Raw genomic sequence first — 24,297 nt, 5'->3', positions numbered from 1 at the left:
CTCATTATAGAGACATAAGGAAAAATTTATCAGCTTTGTGAACACTGATGATCTCCATGCCATGGTTATCGTAACTCTCATTTATTATGTGTTAATTACTATGTTCTAGGTGCCCTGCTAAGCACTTTATTCACAGTATCTCACCATCACCTTCTCAAGGGTACCGTGAAGTAGAAGTTATTTCACCCTTTTATGGATAAAGATAACTGATGCTTAATGAGGTTCAGACAGCAAATAGTGGAGCTAGACTAATTCAGACCTATCTTTCCAAAGCTTGTGCTCCTAATACATAACATTGTGTTTCATGCCGAGGGTAAAATAGATTGAAATTGTTTCACTGGCTAGAGCCACAGAAGAAAGAAAAAAAAAATGTCTTCATGATACTCAGCTGAATCAACTATGACCAGTTTCCTAAAATGGAGTGTCTAGTTGGTGTGAGGCACTGAGGACTGCTGTTGAGTTCATTGAAGGCAGGTGTTTATGGATGTATCTGTGGTAAAAAAGGAACTTGGTTATAAGTTGAAAATGGTCTTGATAGGCCATTGACTCTTTATTTATTCATTCAAACCAATGAACAAATTCGCTATATTATTCCCTAGGAAGAAGTCAAAGCCTTAACTTTATGGGACATAAATATGTTTTAGGGGCCAGACGCAGTGGCTCACGCCTGGAATCCCAGCACTTTGGGAGGCTGAGGTGGGCAGATCACAAGTTCAGGAGTTCGAGACCAGCCTGGCCAATATGGTGAAACCCCGTCTCTACTAAAAATAAAAAAATTTAGCTGGGCGTGGTGGCACACGCCTGTAGTCCCAACTACTCAGGAGGCTGAGGCAGGAGAATCACTTGAATCCAGGAGGCAGAGGTTGCAGTGAGCCGAGATCGTGCCACTGCAGTCTAGTCTGGGCGACAGAGCAAGACTCCGTCTCACAAAAAAAAAAAGATGATTTAAATTATTTTTATTAGTTGTATGACAATATCAGCTGTCATTTATCAAGTACTTTCCTTGTGCTAATACTAGGCTAAAGTTTTATATTATTTCTGATCCTGAGAGTGACCCTGGGAGGAAGATGGTCAGCCTTGTTTTGAGGGAATAAGGCTGAGTATCAGGAGGTTAAGTAACTTACCCAAGGTTAGGCAGTGGCTGAGTAGCTGAGTTGGTGTTCAAATATAGGTCAGTCCAACACTCTATGTGTAAGATGACACTTCTCTTCAGAATCTTCCTTTTTGTCATTTTATCTTGCTGTTTTGGGATCTATGCAGTATTACCTTTTCTAGGTGAAGATAGAAATTTGAGTTTCCTTTCAAGTTAACCCTTGTAAGCCACATGAAACTTTACTTACAGAACTTTATTTACAGAAAACTTTATTTATTGCCCTCTTCTCTAGAGGTTACTATTATTAGTTTTCACTATTACTTCTTATACAGGGTCTTTGGGTGGCTGTCTGTAGGATTGTTTGCCAGCACTTCCCAAATTTCTTTGTAGCAGTAATTTAAAAAATAATTTCAGACTACAGTGCTATTGCAGTACCCTGAAAAATGTGTCCCTGTTTGATGCTCTTGGTGGTAAGGCATAGCTGTGATTGACAGCCTAGTACATTTACTGACTGAGGCTCTGATGTTGGACATCTCCGCCCTCAATGCAACTCACTTTACCTCATAACAGTGCTTTCGTATTGTTTTCTTACTGAGAAGTTACCTGTGTGTTTTAATGTTTTAGAGAATCACAGATTGGAATCTGCCTATCAGAACCATCTAATTCTGAAAGTTTTAGTGGTAAGTACAGCGTTTATGTACAAATCCATTTTATGAAACTGGTATATACTACATAATATATAGGAATACAAATATGAAGAGTTGCTTCTAATCTAAGATATCAATATATTTTGTGCAAATAGGCAAGGATTGATTAATAAATATGTGTACCTCTGTGTTCAGTAGCCTTATTACAAATGTGCATGTGATGTAAGACTTCAAAATATAGGAGTTAGTATTATAGCCAATTTCCAGTTATTTAAAAACTAGGCCAGGTGTGGTGGTTCATACCTGTAATCTCAGCACTTTGGAAGGCCTATGCTGGTGGATCAAGAGTTCGAGACCAGCCTGGCCAACATGGTGAAACCCTGTCTCTACTAAAAATAGAAAAATTAGCTGGCTATGATGACGCAGGCCTGTAATCCCAGCTACTTGGGAAGCTGAGGCAGGAGAATCGCTTGAACTCAGGAGGTGGAGGTTGCAGTGAGCCAAGATGGTACCATTGCACTCCAGCTTGGGTGACAGAGCGAGACTCTGTCTCAAAAAAAAAAAAAAGAAAGAAAGGAAACTAACGGGCCAGACACGGTAGCACATGCCTGTAATCCCAGCACTTTGGGAAGCTTGAGGCAGGTGGATCACTTGAGGCCGGGAGTTTGAGACCAGCCTGGCTAGCACAGTGAAAACCTGTCTCTACCATAAAATACAAAAAAAATTCACCGGGTATGGTGGCACCTGTAATCCCAGCTACTGGGGTGACTGAGGCAGGAGAATCGCTTGAACCCAGGAGGCGGGGGTTGCAGTGAGCCGAGATTGCACCACTGCACTCCAGCCTGGGTGACAGAGCGAGACCCTGTCTCAAAAAACAAAAACAACAACAATAACAACAAAACTAACCCACTTTTTAGATATGTTTCTATTCTTTTCCTTTTGGTGATTTCTTTGAATGTTTTGCTATTTAGCAATCCTTCCTGTCACCACAACCTGTTTAGTGATGGAATATTACATTAAAAAAAATTTTTTTTGTTAGATTTCCAAAGTTCAAAAGGTTCCCAGCATGTTTTGACAGGTGGGAGGAAAGAGACAGAGAGAAAGCAGTATGTAACCTGCTTGCTGTTTGTTAAAAGCTGACATGTCGTGCCTCTTTCTACCATTATTATAAATAATAAAGAAGTACCAGCTTGAAAACACCTCATTTATCGGGGGTTTACCTCAGTCATCTGTAACATAAGTGAGAATCAAGAAAGTTACCTGAAGAATCATCTGAACTTTCAACTGGAATTGATTTAACACAGTCCGTGTACTTTACTCCCAAGAGAAGGATGCAGGCCCTCTTTTAGAATCTCTGTTCTAGCTGTAGAAATCATTCTAAGAAGTTTATCTATCTGGTTTTTCGGTCCTTAAAAAATCAGAAATCACCATCATGAGGGTGTTTAGATTTCTGGAAGTAGGCAAACCTACAGAGAAAGAACAGGTAAGGAAATGAAAAGCTGTCATAAGAGATAAGAATTCAACAATTGGGCAATAGGAAAGGGAAAAGTAGCCCTACATATCCAAAAGGCTTCGAAGGCCTCCTTCACACCGTGAAATGGCTGATACTTAAAATGTTGGTGCTAAATCAGCTAGGAAGTTCTGTTCTGTGCCCTCTGTGTAAGAAAGTAAAGGAATATGGGATACATTAAAAAGTTCATTCGAAAAGGTTATATAACAGGAGGAGCTTTTTCCCTCAGAGGTAAAAACATTGTTTGTCTTAAAGAATTCAGTTATTTATGAGACTTTATTATTCTCTGATGATGCCAGATACAGTTAGGTAACTTCCTTGTAAAAAAAAAAAAAAGCCGTTGGTTAAAGTCTTCTTCCTCCACGGTGCTTCTTAGGCCTCTCTCTTCCTTTTTAATCTTAAGGGGATGGTGTTTCTTAGCCTTCCCAGGCTTTTGCTTTTCAACTTCTGCTCTAACTTAGCACCCCTGTCCTGCGGTCGTGTTGATCTTACTGCTCACTTTCTAGAATGACTCCCCATCTCCGCAGTAATTAAGCACTCACACCTGTACACATAGCAGCCTTTGTCTAAGTGATGCTACTGGGTTGGAAGTAGTCAGCATGGGGGCTGGGAGGCAGAAAGGAAACCCATTGGTGCAGGAAGTAAGCTATAGGTTCTTGAGCAGGGAACTCCTGGAAGAGATGGCACTTTTTGTGGCAGGATCCCCTTGATTGGTAATCCCCTTCACCCAGCCTGCTTCTGTGTATCTGGCAGGGCAGGGGAGTTCATGCTTATGGTGACAAAGATGCTTCCCAGGCCAGACTGGTTGTTATAGCCTCCCAGTTACCTGCTGTCTCTCTGCGATAGAGAGAATCTCAGGTACATAGGCATGAAGAGGCCTCTTATATCAGGCCCTTGTGGCAGGGGCCCCCTTGCCAGTGCCACCCATCTGCCCCACTTACTTTTGATGAGGTTTCCAGGCATAGGCTTGCTGTGATAGGGTCCTTCTTGCCAGTGCTGCCTGGCCATCCTGGGATCTCTCTGTGGAGCAGGGGAGTCCCAGGCCCAGCAAGGAAGAAGAGCACTTCCCCAGGAAACTTATTGTTGGTGGGGGGGTCCTGATTGATTTCCCCTTGCCAATTTAGCAGGGCTCCCCTGGCACTGACAGGATTCCTATTCAAATGTGGGAGGAATGAGCCTACTTGGGCTACCTGGGTGGTAGGTTGGGGTTGGGAAATGTCAGGCCTTGGTCTCCTCCTTCTGTTGGGTGGGGGAACTTAAGGTGTGCACGTGCTGTGCTGTTCCTTCAGCTCTGGGGTCCTAAACCATCTCGTCTTCCTTTAAGCACCTTTCAGAGTTCTCCTTTGGTTGCCTTGTTTGTTATTTCCAGAGTTTGTTTATTTAATAAGGAGACATGGGGAGAAACAAGTCTTTACCATTTCATTTAGACTGGAAGTCTCCCATTACATTTTTCTTTTTTTTTTTTTTTTAATGTAGGAAAATACTTCTTTTTTTTTTTTATACTTTAAGTTTTAGGGTACATGTGCACATTGTGCAGGTTAGTTACATATGTATACATGTGCCATGCTGGTGCGCTGCACCCACTAACTCGTCATCTAGCATTAGGTATATCTCCCAATGCTATCCCTCCCCCCTGCCCCCACCCCACAACAGTCCCCAGAGTGTGATATTCCCCTTCCTGTGTCCATGTGATCTCATTGTTCAGTTCCCACCTATGAGTGAGAATATGCAGTGTTTGGTTTTTTGTTCTTGCGATAGTTTACTGAGAATGATGATTTCCAGTTTCATCCATGTCCCTACAAAGGACATGAACTCATCATTTTTTCTGGCTGCGTAGTATTCCATGGTGTATATGTGCCACATTTTCTTAATCCAGTCTATCATTGTTGGACATTTGGGTTGGTTCCAAGTCTTTGCTATTGTGAATAATGCCGCAATAAACATACGTGTGCATGTGTCTTTATAGCAGCATGATTTATAGTCCTTTGGGTATATACTCAGTAATGGGATGGCTGGGTCAAATGGTATTTCCAGTTCTAGATCCCTGAGGAGTCGCCACACTGACTTCCACAATGGTTGAACTAGTTTACAGTCCCACCAACAGTGTAAAAGTGTTCCTATTTCTCCACATCCTCTCTAGCACCTGTTGTTTCCTGACTTTTTAATGATTGCCATTCTAACTGGTGTGAGATGGTATCTCATTGTGGTTTTGATTTGCATTTCTCTGATGGCCAGTGATGATGAGCATTTTTTCATGTGTTTTTTGGCTGCGTAAATGTCTTCTTTTGAGAAGTATCTGTTCATGTCCTTCGCCCACTTTTTGATGGGGTTGTTTGTTTTTTTCTTGTAAATTTGTTGGAGTTCATTGTAGATTCTGGATATTAGCCCTTTGTCAGATGAGTAGGTTGCGAAAATTTTCTCCCATTTTGTAGGTTGCCTGTTCACTCTGATGGTAGTTTCTTTTGCTGTGCAGAAGCTCTTTAGTTTAATTAGATCCCATTTGTCAATTTTGTCTTTTGTTGCCATTGCTTTTGGTGTTTTAGACATGAAGTCCTTGCCCATGCCTATGTCCTGAATGGTAATGCCTAGGTTTTCTTCTAGGGTTTTTATGGTTTTAGGTCTAACGTTTAAGTCTTTAATCCATCTTGAATTGATTTTTGTATAAGGTGTAAGGAAGGGATCCAGTTTCAGCTTTCTACATATGGCTAGCCAGTTTTCCCAGCACCATTTATTAAATAGGGAATCCCTTCCCCATTGCTTGTTTTTGTGAGGTTTGTCAAAGATCAGATAGTTGTAGATATGCGGCGTTATTTGTGAGGGCTCTGTTCTGTTCCATTGATCTATATCTCTGTTTTGGTACCAGTACCATGCTGTTTTGGTGACTGTAGCCTTGTAGTATAGTTTGAAGTCAGGTAGTGTGATGCCTCCAGCTTTGTTCTTTTGGCTTAGGGTTGCCTTGGCGATGCGGGCTCTTTTTTGGTTCCATATGAACTTTAAAGTAGTTTTTTCCAATTCTGTGAAGAAAGTCATTGGTAGCTTGATGGGGATGGCATTGAATCTGTAAATTACCTTGGGCAGTATGGCCATTTTCACAATATTGATTCTTCCTACCCATGAGCATGGAATGTTCTTCCATTTGTTTGTATCCTCTTTTATTTCCTTGAGCAGTGGTTTGTAGTTCTCCTTGAAGAGGTCCTTCACATCCCTTGTAAGTTGGATTCCTAGGTATTTTATTCTCTTTGAAGCAATTGTGAATGGGAGTTCACTCCTGATTTGGCTCTCTGTCTGTTGTTGGTGTATAAGAATGCTTGTGATTTTTGTACATTGATTTTGTATCCTGAGACTTTGCTGAAGTTGCTTATCAGCTTAAGGAGATTTTGGGCTGAGACAATGGGGTTTTCTAGATATACAATCATGTCATCTGCAAACAGGGACAATTTGACTTCCTCTTTTCCTAATTGAATACCCTTTATTTCCTTCTCCTGCCTAATTGCCCTGGCCAGAACTTCCAACACTATGTTGAATAGGAGTGGTGAGAGAGGGCATCCCTGTCTTGTGCCAGTTTTCAAAGGGAATGCTTCCAGTTTTTGCCCATTCAGTATGATATTGGCTGTGGGTTTGTCATAGATAGCTCTTATTATTTTGAAATACATCCCATCAATACCTAATTTATTGAGAGTTTTTAGCATGAAGGTTTGTTGAATTTTGTCAAAGGCTTTTTCTGCATCTATTGAGATAATCATGTGGTTTTTGTCTTTGGCTCTGTTTATATGCTGGATTACATTTATTGATTTGCGTATATTGAACCAGCCTTGCATCCCAGGGATGAAGCCCACTTGATCATGGTGGATAAGCTTTTTGATGTGCTGCTGGATTCGTTTTGCCAGTATTTTATTGAGGATTTTTGCATCAATGTTCATCAAGGATATTGGTCTAAAATTCTCTTTTTTGGTTGTGTCTCTGCCCGACTTTGGTATCAGAATGATGCTGGCCTCATAAAATGAGTTAGGGAGGATTCCCTCTTTTTCTATTGATTGGAATAGTTTCAGAAGGAATGGTACCAGTTCCTCCTTGTACCTCTGGTAGAATTCGGCTGTGAATCCATCTGGTCCTGGACTCTTTTTGGTTGGTAAGCTATTGATTATTGCCACAATTTCAGCTCCTGTTATTGGTCTATTCAGAGATTCAACTTCTTCTTGGTTTAGTCTTGGGAGAGTGTATGTGTCGAGGAATTTATCCATTTCTTCTAGATTTTCTAGTTTATTTGCGTAGAGGTGTTTGTAGTATTCTCTGATGGTAGTTTGTATTTCTGTGGGATCGGTGGTGATATCCCCTTTATCATTTTTTATTGCGTCTATTTGATTCTTCTCTCTTTTTTTCTTTATTAGTCTTGCTAGCGGTCTATCAATTTTGTTGATCCTTTCAAAAAACCAGCTCCTGGATTCATTCATTTTTTGAAGGGTTTTTTGTGTCTCTATCTCCTTCAGTTCTGCTCTGATTTTAGTTATTTCTTGCCTTCTGCTAGCTTTTGAATGTGTTTGCTCTTGCTTTTCTAGTTCTTTTAATTGTGATGTTAGGGTGTCAATTTTGGATCTTTCCTGCTTTCTCTTGTGGGCATTTAGTGCTATAAATTTCCCTCTACACACTGCTTTGAATGCGCCCCAGAGATTCTGGTATGTTGTGTCTTTGTTCTCGTTGGTTTCAAAGAACATCTTTATTTCTGCCTTCATTTCGTTATGTACCCAGTAGTCATTCAGGAGCAGGTTGTTCAGTTTCCATGTAGTTGAGCGGTTTTGAGTGAGATTCTTAATCCTGAGTTCTAGTTTGATTGCACTGTGGTCTGAGAGATAGTTTGTTATAATTTCTGTTCTTTTACATTTGCTGAGGAGTGCTTTACTTCCAACTATGTGGTCAATTTTGGAATAGGTGTGGTGTGGTGCTGATAAAAATGTATATTCTGTTGATATGGGGTGGAGAGTTCTGTAGATGTCTATTAGGTCCACTTGGTGCAGAGCTGAGTTCAATTCCTGGGTATCCTTGTTGACTTTCTGTCTCGTTGATCTGTCTAATGTTGACAGTAGGGTGTTAAAGTCTCCCATTATTAATGTGTGGGAGTCTTAAGTCTCTTTGTAGGTCTCTAAGGATTTGCTTTATGAATCTTGGTGCTCCTGTATTGGGTGCATATATATTTAGGATAGTTAGCTCTTCTTGTCGAATTGATCCCTTTACCATTATGTAATGGCCTTCTTTGTCTCTTTTGATCTTTGTTGGTTTAAAGTCTGTTTTATCAGAGACTAGGATTGCAACCCCTGCCTTTTTTTGTTTTCCATTGGCTTGGTAGATCTTCCTCCATCCTTTTATTTTGAGCCTGTGGGTGTCTCTGCACGTGAGATGGGTTTCCTGAATACAGCACACTGATGGGTCTTGAGTCTTTATCCAGTTTGCCCGTCTGTGTCTTTTAATTGGAGCATTTAGTCCATTTACATTTAAAGTTAATATTGTTATGTGTGAATTTGATCCTGTCATTATGATGTTAGCTGGTTAGTTTGCTCGTTAGTTGATGCAGTTTCTTCCTAGTCTCGATGGTCTTTACATTTTGGCATGATTTTGCAGTGGCTGGTACCAGTTGTTCCTTTCCATGTTTAGTGCTTCCTTCAGGAGCTCTTGTAAGGCAGGCCTGGTGGTGACAAAATCTCTCAGCATTTGCTTGTCTATAAAGTATTTTATTTCTCCTTCACTTATGAAGCTTAGTTTGTCTGGATATGAAATTCTGGGTTGAAAATTCTTTTCTTTAAGAATGTTGAATATTGGCCCCCACTCTCTTCTGGCTTGTAGAGTTTCTGCCGAGAGATCTGCTGTTAGTCTGATGGGCTTCCCTTTAAGGGTAACCCGACCTTTCTCTGTGGCTGCCCTTAACATTTTTTCCTTCATATCAACTTTGGTGAATCTGACAATTATGTGTCTTGGAGTTGCTCTTCTCGAGGAGTATCTTTGTGGCGTTCTCTGTATTTCCTGAATCTGAACGTTGGCCTGCCTTGCTAGATTGGGGAAGTTCTCCTGGATAATATCCTGCAGAGTGTTTTCCAACTTGGTTCCATTCTCCCCATCACTTTTAGGTACACCAATCAGATGTAGATTTGGTCTTTTCACATAGTCCCATATTTCTTGGAGGCTTTGCTCATTTCTTTTTATTCTTTTTTCTCTAAACTTCCCTTCTCACTTCATTTCATTCATTTCATCTTCCATTGCCGATACCCTTTCTTCCAGTTGATTGCATCAGCTCCTGAGGCTTCTGCATTCTTCACGTAGTTCTCGAGCCTTGGTTTTCAGCTCCATCAGCTCCTTTAAGCACTTCTCTGTATTGGTTATTCTAGTTATAGATTCTTCTGAATTTTTTTCAAAGTTTTCAACTTCTTTGCCTTTGGTTTGAATGTCCTCCCGTAGCTCAGAGTAATTTGATCGTCTGAAGCCTTCTTCTCTCAGCTCGTCAAAGTTATTCTCCATCCAGCTTTGTTCCGTTGCTGAGGAACTGCGTTCCTTTGGAGGAGGAGAGGCGCTCTGCTTTTTAGAGTTTCCAGTTTTTCTGTTCAGGTTTTTCCCCATCTTTGTGGTTTTATCTACTTTTGGTCTTTGATGATGGTGATGTACAGATGGGTTTTTGGTGTGGATGTCCTTTCTGTTTGTTAGTTTTCCTTCTAACAGACAGGACCCTCAGCTTCAGGTCTGTTGGAATACCCTGCCGTGTGAGGTGTCAGTGTACCCCTGCTGGGGGGTGCCTCCCAGTTAGGCTGCTCGGGGGTCAGGGGTCAGGGACCCACTTGAAGAGGCAGTCTGCCCATTCTCATATCTCCAGCTGCGTGCTGGGAGAACCACTGCTCTCTTCCAAGCTGTCAGACAGGGATATTTAAGTCTGCAGAGGTTACTGCTGTCTTTTTGTTTGTCTGTGCCCTGCCCCCAGAGGTGGAGCCTACAGAGGCAGGCAGGCCTCCTTCAGCTGTGGTGGGCTCCACCCAGTTCGAGCTTCCCAGCTGCTTTGTTTACCTAATCAAGCCTGGGCAATGGCGGGCGCCCCTCCCCCAGCCTCGCTGCCGCCTTGCAGTTTGATCTCAGACTGCTGTGCTAGCAATCAGCGAGACTCCGTGGGCGTAGGACCCTCCGAGCCAGGTGCAGGATATAATCTCGTGGTGCGCCATTTTTTAAGCCCGTCGGAAAAGCGCAGTATTCTGGTGGGAGTGACCCGATTTTCCAGGTGCCGTCCGTCACCCCTTTCTTTGACTCAGAAAGGGAACTCCCTGACCCCTTGCGCTTCCCAAGGGAGGCAATGCCTTGCCCTGCTTCGGCTCGCACACGGTGCGCGCACCCACTGACCTGCGTCCACTGTCTGGCACTCCCTAGTGAGATGAACCCGGTACCTCAGATGTAAATGCAGAAATCACCCGTCTTCTGCGTCGCTCAGGCTGGGAGCTGTAGACTGGAGCTGTTCCTATTCGGCCCTCTTGGCTCCTCCCCGCTCCCATTACATTTTTAAATGCTGCATTACAGTTGTAGTAAAGTACTCTAAAGCAGTGCTTAACACTTATCTTTTTTTTTTTTTTTTTTGGCAGTTCAACTTCCTCAATTGCTTTGCCTCACTCTTCTATATTGCCTTTGTCTTGAAAGATATGAAGCTTTTGCGCCAGGTAAGTAAAAATAACAGAAAAATACCAATTTTTTAGGTCATAGAGGTGGTTTTCTATCTTTAGATGCTGTAATTGCCTTCAAATTATTTTTACAAATAAAATCTTTTAAATTTTGTATGTTTTTAAGCCAAATTCTAAATAAAAAATTATTAGGAATGGCATTGTGTATTATGCTCAACTGAAATGAGTTGAACCTAACCAACCTGAAAAATTAAGTATAGGGCAGTAAAATCAATTATATAGTTCACCTCAAAGCTTGTAAGCAACTCTAACAGCAAAAATATAGTATTCATTAACTGAACTGTTTTGTGTGCCTTGGATGGGGATGATTGGTGTAACCTTAGGTCTCGCAAATTTAATTTTTAAGTTAATAAGTTGTTAAACTTTAGAGACCAGTGGATCCTATGCAGTGCTGTATCTTTTCTAAAGTGTCTGACATTTATTTTGGTGTGTTGTCATTTCTGGATCACATAATACCAATGAATAATAAATTAAGAACAAATTATTGATTTCTAAATTCTCCTTTTTATATTTGAACCAGTTATAAGTAAATGGCTGTTTTTTCCCAGTTTTAATATTCTGAGATTGTTGGTGAGCAGTCTCAAAGGCTAGACTCCACTTGTTAAAAATTATTTTTCAAAATAGAGAAAGTTTAAAGTAGTACATTTGGAATTGATGAGTTGGATGTACATGTAACAGTGGTCCCATGTAATAGTGTATTAGTTGGATGTGACTTCTCATTTCTTCTGCTTTAGAGAGTCTCCTTTACTTAGCAGAAGATAGGGGAATGGAGGAGGACCGCTTAAAAAAACAGTTGTAATACCAGCAAAGGTGGGGTGTGATGGAAACATTCATATCTATCTGAGAAAAGTGGAGATTGATACATCTCTGGAAACCAGCTCTCTTGATAGCTTTGCCAAGAAACTTAACTCATCCCTAGTAAATCTTCAGAGAGGAGCAAAGATTCATGTACATAGATATCCAAGCACCAGCATTATAATAGCCAAAATTGGGAGTAATAGTTAATTCAACAGCAGTGTACAGGCCAAGTAAAAAAGAATTTTTAATGATACGGGAAAATGCTCAAACATATTAAGTGAGAAAAGCAGTAAACAAAGTGTATCCATATAGGATAATTATAGTTTTATTTTTATATATGATTGGAAAGAAATATCCCAAGAAGTAGCAGTGGTTTTGTCATGGTTGTGTAATTATGGGTGGCTCTTTTTTTCTATTTTTTTTTTAATAATACATACATAGTTGTACATTTTTATGGGGTACATATGCTGTTTTGTTACATTCATAAAATGTGTAATGAAGGCCGGGCATAATGGCTCATACCTGTAATCCCAGCACTTTAGGAGGCTGAGGCAGGCAGATTGCTTGAGCCCAGGAGTTCAAGACCAACCTGGGCAACGTGGCAAAATCCTGTCTCTACCAAATATACAAAAAGTTACCTGGGTGTGGTAGCACTTGCCTGTAGTCTCAGCTACCTGGGAGACTGAGGTGGGAGGATTGTCTGAGCCTGGGAGCTCCAGGCTGCAGTGAACTGTGATCACGCCACTGCACTGCAAAGTGAGACCGTGTCTCAAAAAAAAAAATGTGTAATGATCAATCAAGGTATTTAGAGTATCTATCATCTCGAGTATTTATCATTTCTATATGTTGGGAGCATACAATACATTATTGTTAACCATAATCACCCTACTCTGCTCTCATATGTTAGAACTTATTTCTTCTCTCTAATTGTATGTTTGTACCTCTCGATCAGCTTCTCTTTATCCTCCTCTCCCCAACACACACCCACCCAGCCTCTGGTAACCGTCGTCCCACTCTATCTCTATGAGATCAACTTTTTTAGCTCCCAAGTGTGAGTGGGAGCCTGTGATATTTGTCTTTCTGTGCCCGGCTTATTTCACTTAACATAATGACCTCCAGTTCCATCCGTGTTGCTGCAATTGACAGAATTTCAGTCTTTTTTATGGCCAACTAGTATTCCATTGTGTATATATACCACATTTTCCTTATCTATTCATCTGTTGATAGACACTGAGGTTGATTCTGTTTCTTTATTGTTACAAATAGTGCTGCAGTAAACATGGGGGTGCAGGTGTCCGTTTGATATGCTCATTTCTTTTCCTTTGGATAAATACCCAGTAGTCAGAATGCTGGATTCTATGGTTGTTCTATTTTCAGGTTTTTTTTTAGATGTCTCAAAAAAAAAAAAAAAAAAACCTCTCGCCATACTCTTTTATATAATGTCTGTATCAATTTCCATTTCTACCAACAACAGTGTATAAGAGTTCCCTTTGTTGCACGTTCTTGTCAGCATCTGGATTTTTTGGGTCTTTTTAATAATAGCAATTCTATTTGGAGTAGGATGATATCTCATTGTGGCTTTGATTTGCATGTCCCTGATGATGAGTGGTGTTGAGTATTTTTTCATATACCTGTGGCTATGTAAATGTCTTCTTTAGAGAAATGTCTATTCATGTCTTTTGCCTACTTTAATGGGATTATTTGTATTTTTGGTATTGTTTGAGTTCCTTGTATATTCTGGTATTCTAGGTATTAGTTCCTTGTCAGATGAGTAGTCTGCAGATCTTTTCTCCCATTCAACAGATTGTCTCTTCACTGTGTTGTTTCCTTTGCTGTGCAGAAACTTTTTTCTTTAATATAGTCACAGTTGTCTATTTTTGGTTTTGTTGCCTGTGCTTTTTAGGTCCTAGCCATAAAATGGTGGGAACTTTGCTTAGACCAATGTCCTGTAGTATTTCCCCTATGTTTTCTTCTAGTAGTTTTATAGTTTTGGGTCTTATGTTTAGATCTTTAATCCATTTTGAGTTGACTTTTGTTTGTGGTGATAGAGAGGGGTCTAGTTTCATTCTTCTGCATATAGATACCTGGTTTTCCCAGCACCATTTATTGAAGAGGGTGTTTTTTCTCCAATATACATTCTTCTTTTTTTTTTTTAGATGGAGTCTCACTCTGTTGCCCAGGCTGGAGTGCAGTGGCACAGCCTTGGCTCACTGCAGCCTCTACCTCCTAGGTTCAAGCGTTTCTTGTACCTCAGCCTCCCAAGTAGCTGGGATTACAGATGTGCGCCACCACGCCTGGCTAATTTTTGTATTTTTAGTAGAGGTGGGGTTTCACCATGTTGGCCAGGCTGGTCTCAAACTTCTTTTTTTTTTTTTTTTGTTTGAGACAGAGCCTCGTTCTGCCGCCCAGGCTGGAGTGCAGTGGCGCGATCTTGGCTTACTGCAAGCTCCGCCTCCTGGGTTCACGCCATTCTCCTGCCTCAGCTTCCTGAGTAGCTGGGACTACAGGCACGTGCCACCATGCCCGGCTAACTTTTTGTATTTTTAGTAGAGACAGGATTTCACCGTGTTAGCCAGGATGGTCTCGATCTCCTGACCTCGTGATCTGCCCGCCTCGGCCTCCCAAAGTGCTGGGATTACAGGTGTGAGCCACTGTGCCCGGCCTCAAACTTTCCATCTCAGGTGATCTGCCCGCCTTGGCCTCTCAAAGTACTGGGATTACAGGCATGAGCCACTGCACCCTGCCTCAATATACATTCTTAGTGCCTTTATAGAAAATCAGTTGACTGTAAATATGTGGATTTTTTTTCTGTTTTATTTTTGTAGTGAGGGTATGTATTAGTGGTATAATTTAAATTCTTTAAAAAAGAATTTAGCCAAACTTTTTTTATCCAGAGTTGGCAACATCATTTAGATTTATATGTTGCAGTCAGGATGAAATGTCGAAGAACACAATTGCAAGTTAATTCATTTTTGTAATGATTCTTTTTTTAAAGTTGTAGAATTGACAAATAATTGTACATATTCATGAAGTACTTGGTGATGTTTTAATACATAAAATGTATCGCAGTCAGATCAGGGTAGTTAACATATCCATCCTCTCAAACATTTATTATTTCCTTGTGTTGGGACTGTTTAATTGACCAGTTTGTTTCTTATTATAACATTATTTGTATTATAATCTTATTTATCTTTTAATCTTGGTCTTTCATGTGAAAAACCATAAATTAGAAACACCATTCTAACACCTAGCTTTTCTAATACTAGTTTTTATAACACAATAGTATGCTATTTATTGAAGATTCCATTTTATTTGTTGCATAATTGTATTTATGCTATAAATACTGTAGTTTAATTTATATATAATTTATACAAATGCTATAGTTTTATTAAGCTGTATTCCCAAAATGTGATTTGTGTGCTTCTCTTTAGAGCTTGGCCACTCTCCTAATTACCTCCCAGATCCTCAACCAAATTATGGAATCTTTTCTTCCTTATTGGCTCCAAAGGAAGCATGGTGTGCGGGTGAAGAGGAAGGTGCAGGCTTTAAAGGCAGACATTGATGCTACATTATATGAACAAGTCATCCTGGAAAAAGAAATGGGAACTTATTTGGTAAGTTGGAATATTGCTGAATTAAACATTTACTGAGAGTGAATAATAGCCATGCACTGAGTTCAACAAATGTTATACATTCATGATCTCAGATGTGACTATTCTAGAAGTGCTTTCCAGTCAGTTTCCTCATCATGAACCACTTTAAAGTGAAAGGGATAGAACTTTGCATTGAAGCACTGCTGTCTGAAATCTAAAGTTACGCATAATGACACCAAAGGGCAAATTTGGAGAATTACATGACTGCTTTGCTTTGCGGAGAGCAGGGTAGAATAGTTGCCCCAGAGATGACAGAACGGGAGAGATGGTCCCTGAAGAGGCAGCAGCATTGCTCGCTCTTGACACTTCAAACTCATGGAAAATGATGGCTGCACAAACAAAAGATAGAGACTCATTGATGAACAATGGAATGCCAATCTGAAGATTGAATTTTAGTTTACATTAGTGCTATTGTATAAATATAAAACAGTTCTTTTAAGACAGAGACTTTCTGAATTACTTTTAGGAACTACAAGCAGATCATTAGAGATTTACACTTTTAATATTTGAAAGGTCTAGCTCATAAAATCTATGTGTTCAGCCAACTTTTATTGAGCTCTGACTACATTCACTGTTTCTATATTTCACATTTTTTTTAGGCCATTGTTTCTTAACATCCTGCACCTTCCTTGTTGCTACAGTATTCTTTCTGGTGAAATAGATCCTTCAGTGGGTCATTTACTGAGAGCCCATTATTGTGAAACTTTCATAGTCTTGTTTTTCATCTTGAATGAGTTTATCTCCTGATTTTTGAGTGTCTTGACTGACTTTCATAATTTTTCTCATGTGCTTAGGAATTTGTATGTTCATGTTGAGTAGGACTTTGTCTTTTTCTCTCTGCTCACTTCTGCCTTATTTTTTGCAGTTGCCCCCACTGAGCCTCCAAGCCCCTCATCCAGAACCAGGTGTTTGTAGCCCAGAGCTCCCATCTTGTGGTGGTGATGAGGATTTTATAGATCTGGTCACAGAGCCAGTAGGTGGCATGCTGTTGACATAGCTGTAGTTACCAGGCAGCAGTTGTAGCTTTTTTAAAGCCTCCTTTGAAGGGCAGGGAGCATTGTCCCAACCCCTGGTTTTGCTCAGCAAGCCTGGCTCCAGTTACACTCCAGGGGAGAGGGTGCTCTTGGTTCTCCTCCCCATAGGATACAGATCCTAGCCCCTTCTGTCATTGCTGTGTTTGAGGGAGATGATTCAAAGTATAAACACATAGTAAACTTTGAACAGTAACATTGTTTATATTTATATATGAAGCATAGAGAAAAGACACACACCTACTCTGTCTCACAGAGGAAGAATTAAAGAGAAGGAGCATGTGGGCACAAGTGTGGAGCTGTCCTTTCTGGATTGGTTGAGTGCTAGCTTACTATGGGATAAAAGTTAAATTATGTCATTTTACTATGGGATAAAAGTTCCCATTATGTCAGGATCCTTTCCTTGCCTATGCTTGGGGGTGGTATTCTTGGCCACATTTCTTTTCCTTTTTTCACTGTCTTATAGAAACTGCACCAGCAGTCCATCCCCTGTACTCTCATTCCATCCCCCCTCATCTTTGGAGGCCTTCTGTCACCAGCCATCACCTGGTACTCTTGTATCTACTTCTTCTCCTCCTAACTGCTCCACCAAGTCAGCAACTTGCCTATTTTGAACTAAGCAAACTCTTCACATCTTCTGCTGTTTTTATCCTGTCTTTCCTTCCCCTCACAGTTTTCTGCAATAATTCTCCATATTGTTGTCTTTAGTTTCCTACTTCTCTTTCTATAATCAATTAGAATCTGCTTTCAGCTGTTCTTTTTCTCTGAAATAGTTTGGGCAAACAACATTATCTCCTGAAGTACCCAAAACACGATTCATAATCTTCTGAAGATGGGTTTCTCCTGCTTTGCCCCTGGCTCAGTGAATGGTTTTTAGTACAGTCCTCATCTGAGCAATTCTAATTTATCTAAGAACTGTATGCCAGTGATGTGACACTGCCAAAATCTCAGATCTTACCTCTTTTGACATTTCAGGGTATCTGACAAAACCTTTATGAAGGACGGTGAGGGAGGCATGGCTATTCCCATGTCAAAAATAAGCAAATGAAGCTCTATGTCATTAATTATTTGGTGACTAAATCAGAAAGAAGGTTCAAGACCTTGCCTTCCCAATTCAGAATCTTTCTGTTATACACCACAGGTTCTCTGATGTGAAGTAAAGGAAATAATATATTGATTTCTCTCTCAGGCTCTGGGTCTGTGACTGAACTCTAGGGTTTACAGTGCCACTCCTTTTTGGACCTGCAGGGTTCTGCGTGATCTGGCCATTTCCCACTCCTGATCTCTTACAGGTTTCTTTTTCACCGTCTCCACTGGAGTGATGTTGGATATTTGCCATTTCAGTTCTCTCCATGTATTTGGAGGCGGGGATACTTTTGGATCACATTTATTCTAGATGATTGTTTCCTATGCATGAATCCTTTCTTCTGGGTCCATTTTTCTCCTAATTGAAATCAATGAATTTAGAACTGTATTTTCTGTAAGCTCATCCTGACTGTTATATGTGAGTCTAAAATAATGTTGCCAAGCTTTGGGAAAAAGCAATTTGGCCGAAACTTTAAAAACATTACTATAAAAGTAATACTTTCTCACTCCCTGTAGAAAACTTAGAAAATGCAGGATAGAGTCAATATATAAAAAGAAATTCTCTGTAATATTCCCACCCATGGTAATCCCCTGGGTCTCCTGATTGCTGTTCCACCAGCCCAGGACTAAGCTGTGTTGCTTCCTAGATCTTCACTGTCCTCTGCTGTCCTTTTCCTGTGAACTGCCCACTCATATCCAACTGCATAGCTGGGTGAGGCTGAATTTTCATGACGACTATTCCAAGTAGAACATCATATTGCTGCACAGTAAATGAACTGCCTTCTACTAAATGATACATTACAGAGGTTTGCCAGAAATGTAAAAAGTGCCAGTCTGCATTAACATTTTTTGAAATGTAATTATTTTTCAAAAGACATTTATGTTAATATGTTATTATTTAAATGTATTAATGGAAGATCTTTAAAATTTCTCAGCTTTTTTTTTTTTTTTTTCTGGTGAGACAGGGTCTCACTTTGTCACACAGGTTGGAGGGCAGTGGTGGCAATAGTGGCTCACTGCAACCTCAACCTCCCAGGCTCAAGCGATCCTTCTACCTCAGCCTCCTGAGTAGCTGGGACTACAGGCATGTACCATCATGCCTGGCTTATTTTTGTATTTTTTGTAGAGATGGGCTCTCACTGTGTTGCCCAGGCTGGTCTTGAACTCCTGGATTTAAGCAGTTCTCCCACCTTGGCCTCCCAAAGTGTTGGGATGAGCCACCATGCCTGACCTAATTTCTCAGTTTTAATTAATAATATGGTAAGCATCAAAGCATCAACTAGATAAACTCACATAAACAAAACGTCTTTTTTTTTTTTTTTTTTTTTTGAGACAGAGTCTCGCTCTGTTGCCCAGGCTGGAGTGCAGTGGTGCGATCTTGGCTCACTGCAAGCTCCGCCTCCCAGGTTTATACCATTCTCCTGCCTCAGCCTCCCAAATAGCTGGGACTACAGGTGCCTGCCACCATGCCCGGCTAATTTTTTGTATTTTTAGTAGAGACAGGTTTTCACCATGTTAGCCAGGATGGTCTCAATCTCCTGACCTCGTGATCCACCCGCCTCGGCCTCCCAAAGTGCTGGAATTACAGGCGTGAGCCACTGCGCCTGGCCAAACAAAATGTCTTTAATGTCCTCAATAATTTTTAAGAGTTTAGGGCTCCTTAAGACCAAAAAAGCTTGAAAACTACAGCTCTAGAACAACCTCCTTGCCGTTTTTCAAGGAATTGGCTTTTGTAAATCTATTGTTTGATCTTATTTCTCATAAGATTTGAGTGAAATGATTTTGGAAGTATACCACCATTGTACCCCATCAGGATGTGTTGACGTCTGGTTGCCCATTTTGTGGGGTCACCTTGTTTGATCATTCGGTTGGCTTGGTAAAAGGCAGATTGCACAGTGTTTTTTTTTTTCCTTCATTTTATAATGAATAAATTATCTGTGGGTCAATACTTTTGAAACTTTCCTTTTCCTTTTTATAAATAGTATCTCTTTAAAAATACAATTTCTAATTGTTTGTTGCTGGCATATGGGAATGCTGTTAATTTTTATATCTTTTACCCACAATTTTGCTGAACTCTCCTGTTATTTCCAAAACATTTTCTATAGATTTTGTTGGATTTTCTACATAGACAGTAATTTGAGCTATAAATAATGACCATTTTCTTTCTTCCTTCAGTTTTTACCCTTTTTATTATCTACTAGGCTTACTGGTATGTTCAATACAATTTGAATAGAAGTAATTATCACAGGAATCTTTATCTTATTTCTGATTTTTTTATCTTCTCACCATTGTGTGTTATGTTTGTTCCGTGTTTTTAGTAAATAACATTTTATCAGTTTAAAACTTCTCAGCTGAGTGTTGATAGCATGGTCCAACAAAAAGAGAGAATAGGGTAGATTGTGTCTTGGTTAATATATTCTTAGTGTGTGTATGTGTTTTCTTTGTTGAATTTTCATTTTTTTTCCTTCTTGCTGTTGGATTATGTCCTTGGTTTGCTAAATTTCTTGGCTCAAAAGCACTCAGAAGTGTAAAAGGTGCTGATACAGTGTTAACGTGTAGCTATCATCACTCAGAATCACCCCGAGAGATGGAAACACAGAGTGTGGGGAAACACAGAGTGTGGAGCACGCTGCTGTGTTTGGAAAGGGCTCCCCTGGTGCTATACACTAATAACTCCAAGAAGGCCTTTGCATGATTTTCAGAGGCTTCCCAATAGCACACCTGAGAAAAACTGCCTGCACATCTCTGCACAGGCTTGATCTTTACAGCCTGAAACAGTGCAATTTTGAATGCTGAGCATAGGGTATCAGGATTTCTTAAGACTGAATGTGGTAAAAATGGCTTGATTGCTAAGATTTTTACTCTTTTCCCAACTCTTGATTTATTCATCCTTCAGAGAAAGAGATTGATGCAATGTCACTGGGTATATTTAAGAACCATAACTAGATGCTGCAACACAACATGAGAACATACCATCTAGAGCCAAATGCAACCAACCAAGTTATTTAGAAACTGCTCGCCCTTGAATCCCAAGTTGAGCATGTAACCTGCCAGTTCTGAGGTTTATGTGTTTAGTGGTACTTTCTGGTGAACCTCGAAAATAGCCAGTGAGACTCAGAATCGGTGGTTCATACTTGATTCAGATATCCAGAACATCTGGAAGAAGCACCTTTTGCCATTCCCAATACCCTATTGTTGTGTTTGAGATTTTCTATTTAGTAAAATATAAAATAAGAAAAACTGACTGGAAGTGGACTCTGACTTACACTAATACTGAGCCTAATATGCATATCTTAGTGAAAGACTGATTCAGAGATGCGATAATAATAATGTTTATTAATTTGAAAATATTAATGCTTATGATTGCTTTAAAATATTGTGATGAATACTTTTCTTAAACTGAAATTATTATTGCATGTGTGTGGGATGATCATGAAGCCTGAGGGTGTCAGAAGTTGGAGAAACACTGGTGTATGGTGGGGAAACTCTTTGAGGTTTTTTTGAATAGTTAGAGGCCACAGCTTTGATTAGTATTGCAAAAGGATATTCCTATTGTATGATATTAAAATAATGCATGCTTGTTTATATTTTCAGGGCACCTTTGATGATTACTTGGAGTTATTCCTGCAGTTTGGTTATGTGAGCCTTTTCTCCTGTGTTTACCCATTAGCAGCTGCCTTTGCTGTGTTAAATAACTTCACTGAAGTAAATTCAGATGCCTTAAAAATGTGCAGGGTCTTCAAACGTCCATTCTCAGAACCTTCAGCCAATATTGGTGTGTGGCAGGTAATTGTTTGAGAAAAAAATTATTCCTTTAAAAAATAAAAATACGAGGTGTTATGACAGGGAAAAAAAATTAAAAAGTAAGCCCTACAGAGAGATTTAGGAAAACTGAATTTGTTTGTTTGGCTACAAACTAGCTGTGTGGCCTTGGATAACCATTAACTTTGTCTAGCTTCACTTTTCTTGTTTTTAAAATTGGGGGTTAGGGGAGATAAATATAATTTCTAAGACCCCTTTTAGATGTGAAACTCTGACAATCTTCTGGGAAAGTAGCCAGCTAAGACTTCATCTCAGCCAGTATTAATGAGACCCTCTCTGCTACAGTGTCAGTGGAAGCCACATGGGGAGCCTAGACTTCTGCTCCTATCTGGCAGTAATGAGACTCCTTTTTTAGTTTTTGCTAGTCTAGTTTTCTAGTCCTGGGGTGGTCTCAGAGGAAGCCTAGTGGAATATAAGGAGTTTCACCACAACCCTGCACAGTGGAGGCCACATGGGAACATATATGAGGCACCTGTCCTTCTCTCCCTGAAGGAAGAATCAGTAGAGGTCTAGTGGGAAGCAGAGCACCCATCCTTGCCCAGCAATAATGAGGAATCCCCCCTGGATGCCAGTGGTTTCTACATGGGGAACCTGGACTTCTACCTCTACCTGGTAGTAATAAGGCGTTATCCCCTCTTCCCTTGCTGGAATGGTGTCAGAGAAATCAACTAAAACAGAAGGTTTAAATGAGATATAGAATCTTATCTCTCCTAACATGTCCAGGTTTCTATTTAAAAAATCACTGATCAGACCAGGTATGGTGGCTCACACCTGTAATCCCAGCACTTTGGGAGGTTGAGGCAGGCGGATTACCTGAGGTCAGGAGTTCGAGACCAGCCTGGCCAACATGGTGAAACCCCATCTCTACTAAAAATACAAAAATTAGCCAGCATGCTGCTGGGCGCCTGTAATCCCAGCTACTCAGGAGGCTGAGGCAGAAGAATCACTTGAAGCCGAGAGGCAGAGATTGCAGTGAGCTGAGACCATATCATTACACTCCAGCCTGGGTGACAGAGCGACACTCCATCTCAAAAAAAGAAAAAAAAAAAAAAAAAGAAAAATCACTCATCATAGAAAGAACCAGGAAGAAATCAAGCTTAATGAGAAAAGACAGTCAGCAGATGCCACTACCAAGGTGACACAGGTTAGAAATATTGGACAGAGATTTTAAAACAGCCTTATATAAAAGTTTCAATGAGTAATTATGACCATATCTGAAACAAATGAAAAAACAGAATTAGGATATCTCAGCAAAGAGATGGAAGATATAAAAGAGAATCACATTGATATTTTAGAAGTGACAAATACCATAATTGAAATAAAAAGCTCACTGAATGAGTGCAACAGCAGAATGGAAGGGATAGAGGAAAGAATCAGAAACTGGAAAATAGAATAAAAGAAATTATCAGCTGGGTGCTGTGGCTCACGCCTGTAATCCCAGCACTTTGGGAGGCCAAGGCAGGCAGATCATGAGGTCAGAAGTTCGAGACCAGCCTGGCCAACGTGGTGAAACCCCATCTCTACTAAAAATACAAAAAATTAGCTGGGCGTGGTGGTGGGCACTTATAATCCCAGCTACTTGGGAGGCTGAGGCAGGAGAATCACTTGAACCTGGGAGGCAGAAGTTGAAGTGAGCTGGATTGCGCCACTGCACTCCAGCCCGAGCAACAGTGTGGGACTCCATCTCAAAAAAAAAAAAAAAGAGAGAAATTATCCAGTCTGAACAACAGAGAGAAAATATTCTGTAAGCACAAACATAGCCTCAGGGACCTGTGGGGGTATAAAAAAGAGCTAACATTCATGTCACTGGAGTTACAGAAGGAGAGAAGAAAGAGGGAGGGGCCCAAAAAGTACTTGAATAAATAACGGCTAAGAACTTTTTAAATGTGGCAAGAGACCCAAAACTGCAGATTCAAGAAGCATTGTGAACCCCAAACAAGATAAACCAAAGAAATCCTTGCCAACACACATCGTAAACACTTGAAAGCTAAAGACAGCATTTCAAGAGCATCAAAAGAGAAATAACATCTTACCTATAGGGGGAAAACAATTAGAATGACAGGCAATTTCTTATTGGAAGCTATGGAGGCCAGAAGAAAGTGGCAAAATATTTTTCAGGTCCTTAAAGTATTGTCAATATAGAATCCTGGCTGGGTGCAGCGGCTCATGCCTGTAATCCCAGCACTTTGGGAGGCTGAGGCAGGTGGATCACCTGAGGTCAGAAGTTTGAGACTAGCCTGACCAACATGGTGAAACCCCATCTCTACCAAAAATACAAAAATTAGCTGGGTGTGGTTGTGGGTGCCCATAATCCCAGCTACTTGAGAGGCTGAGGCAGGAGAATTGCTTGAACCTGGGAGGCAGGGGTTGCAGTGTGCTGAGATTGCGCCATTCCACTCCAGCCTGGGTGACAAGAGCAAAGCTCCATCTCAAAAAGAAAATAGTGTGTGTATATATATAAAATACACACATATACATACATACATACATACATACATACATACATACATACATATATATATATATATATATATATATATATATCCAGAGATAATATTTTTCAGAAATGAAGGAAAAAGCAAGACACTTTCAGATGCAGGCGAACTAAGAGAATTTGTTGCCAGTACACCTATCCTAAGAGAATAGCTATAGGAAGTTCTCTTAACTAAGGAATTATGAAAGAAGAAATCTGGGAACCTGTAGAAGAAAAAACATGGTAACCAAAAATATTAGTAAACAAAATAGACTTTTCTTCTCTTATTGAGTTTTCTATGTTATGTTTGATGGTTGAAGCAAAACTTATAATACTGTCCAATGATTCTAAATATATGTAGAAAAAAATTTTTTTTATTTTTTTATTTTTTGTAGGCATGGGCTCCCACTATGTTGACCAGGTTGGCCTCAAATGATCCTACCACCTTGGCCTTCCAAAGTGCTAGGATTACAGGCATGAGCCA

The 24,297-nt window shown here is 40.2% G+C and overlaps 1 protein-coding gene across 25 annotated transcripts in view, besides 1 other annotated feature; it reads left to right on the top strand.

The window, feature by feature from the left end:
• Positions 1–24,297, top strand: part of ANO10 (anoctamin 10) — a 325,747-nt gene that overhangs the window by 115,013 nt on the left and 186,437 nt on the right. For all 25 annotated transcript variants that reach the window (NM_001346469.2, NM_001346468.2, NM_001204833.3 and 22 more), the window contains 4 exons: positions 1,718–1,773; positions 10,855–10,929; positions 15,180–15,362; positions 21,113–21,304. In NM_001346469.2, coding sequence (NP_001333398.1) covers positions 1,718–1,773; positions 10,855–10,929; positions 15,180–15,362; positions 21,113–21,304 — 506 coding nt within the window. The remainder of the gene's footprint in view (positions 1–1,717; positions 1,774–10,854; positions 10,930–15,179; positions 15,363–21,112; positions 21,305–24,297) is intronic.
• Positions 10,324–11,046: an enhancer, noted in NCBI's record as "NANOG-H3K27ac-H3K4me1 hESC enhancer chr3:43607028-43607750 (GRCh37/hg19 assembly coordinates)". NCBI's record gives its function as "activates a minimal SCP1, AML or CMV promoter by ChIP-STARR-seq in naive and primed H9 embryonic stem cells {active_cell/tissue: H9 hESC(naive and primed)}" and the evidence as "EXISTENCE:reporter gene assay evidence [ECO:0000049][PMID:30033119]".

Source organism: Homo sapiens, chromosome 3, assembly GCF_000001405.40.
Source record: "Homo sapiens chromosome 3, GRCh38.p14 Primary Assembly".
Lineage (NCBI taxonomy): Eukaryota > Metazoa > Chordata > Mammalia > Primates > Hominidae > Homo > Homo sapiens.
This window is presented reverse-complemented; position numbering and strand designations above follow the sequence as displayed.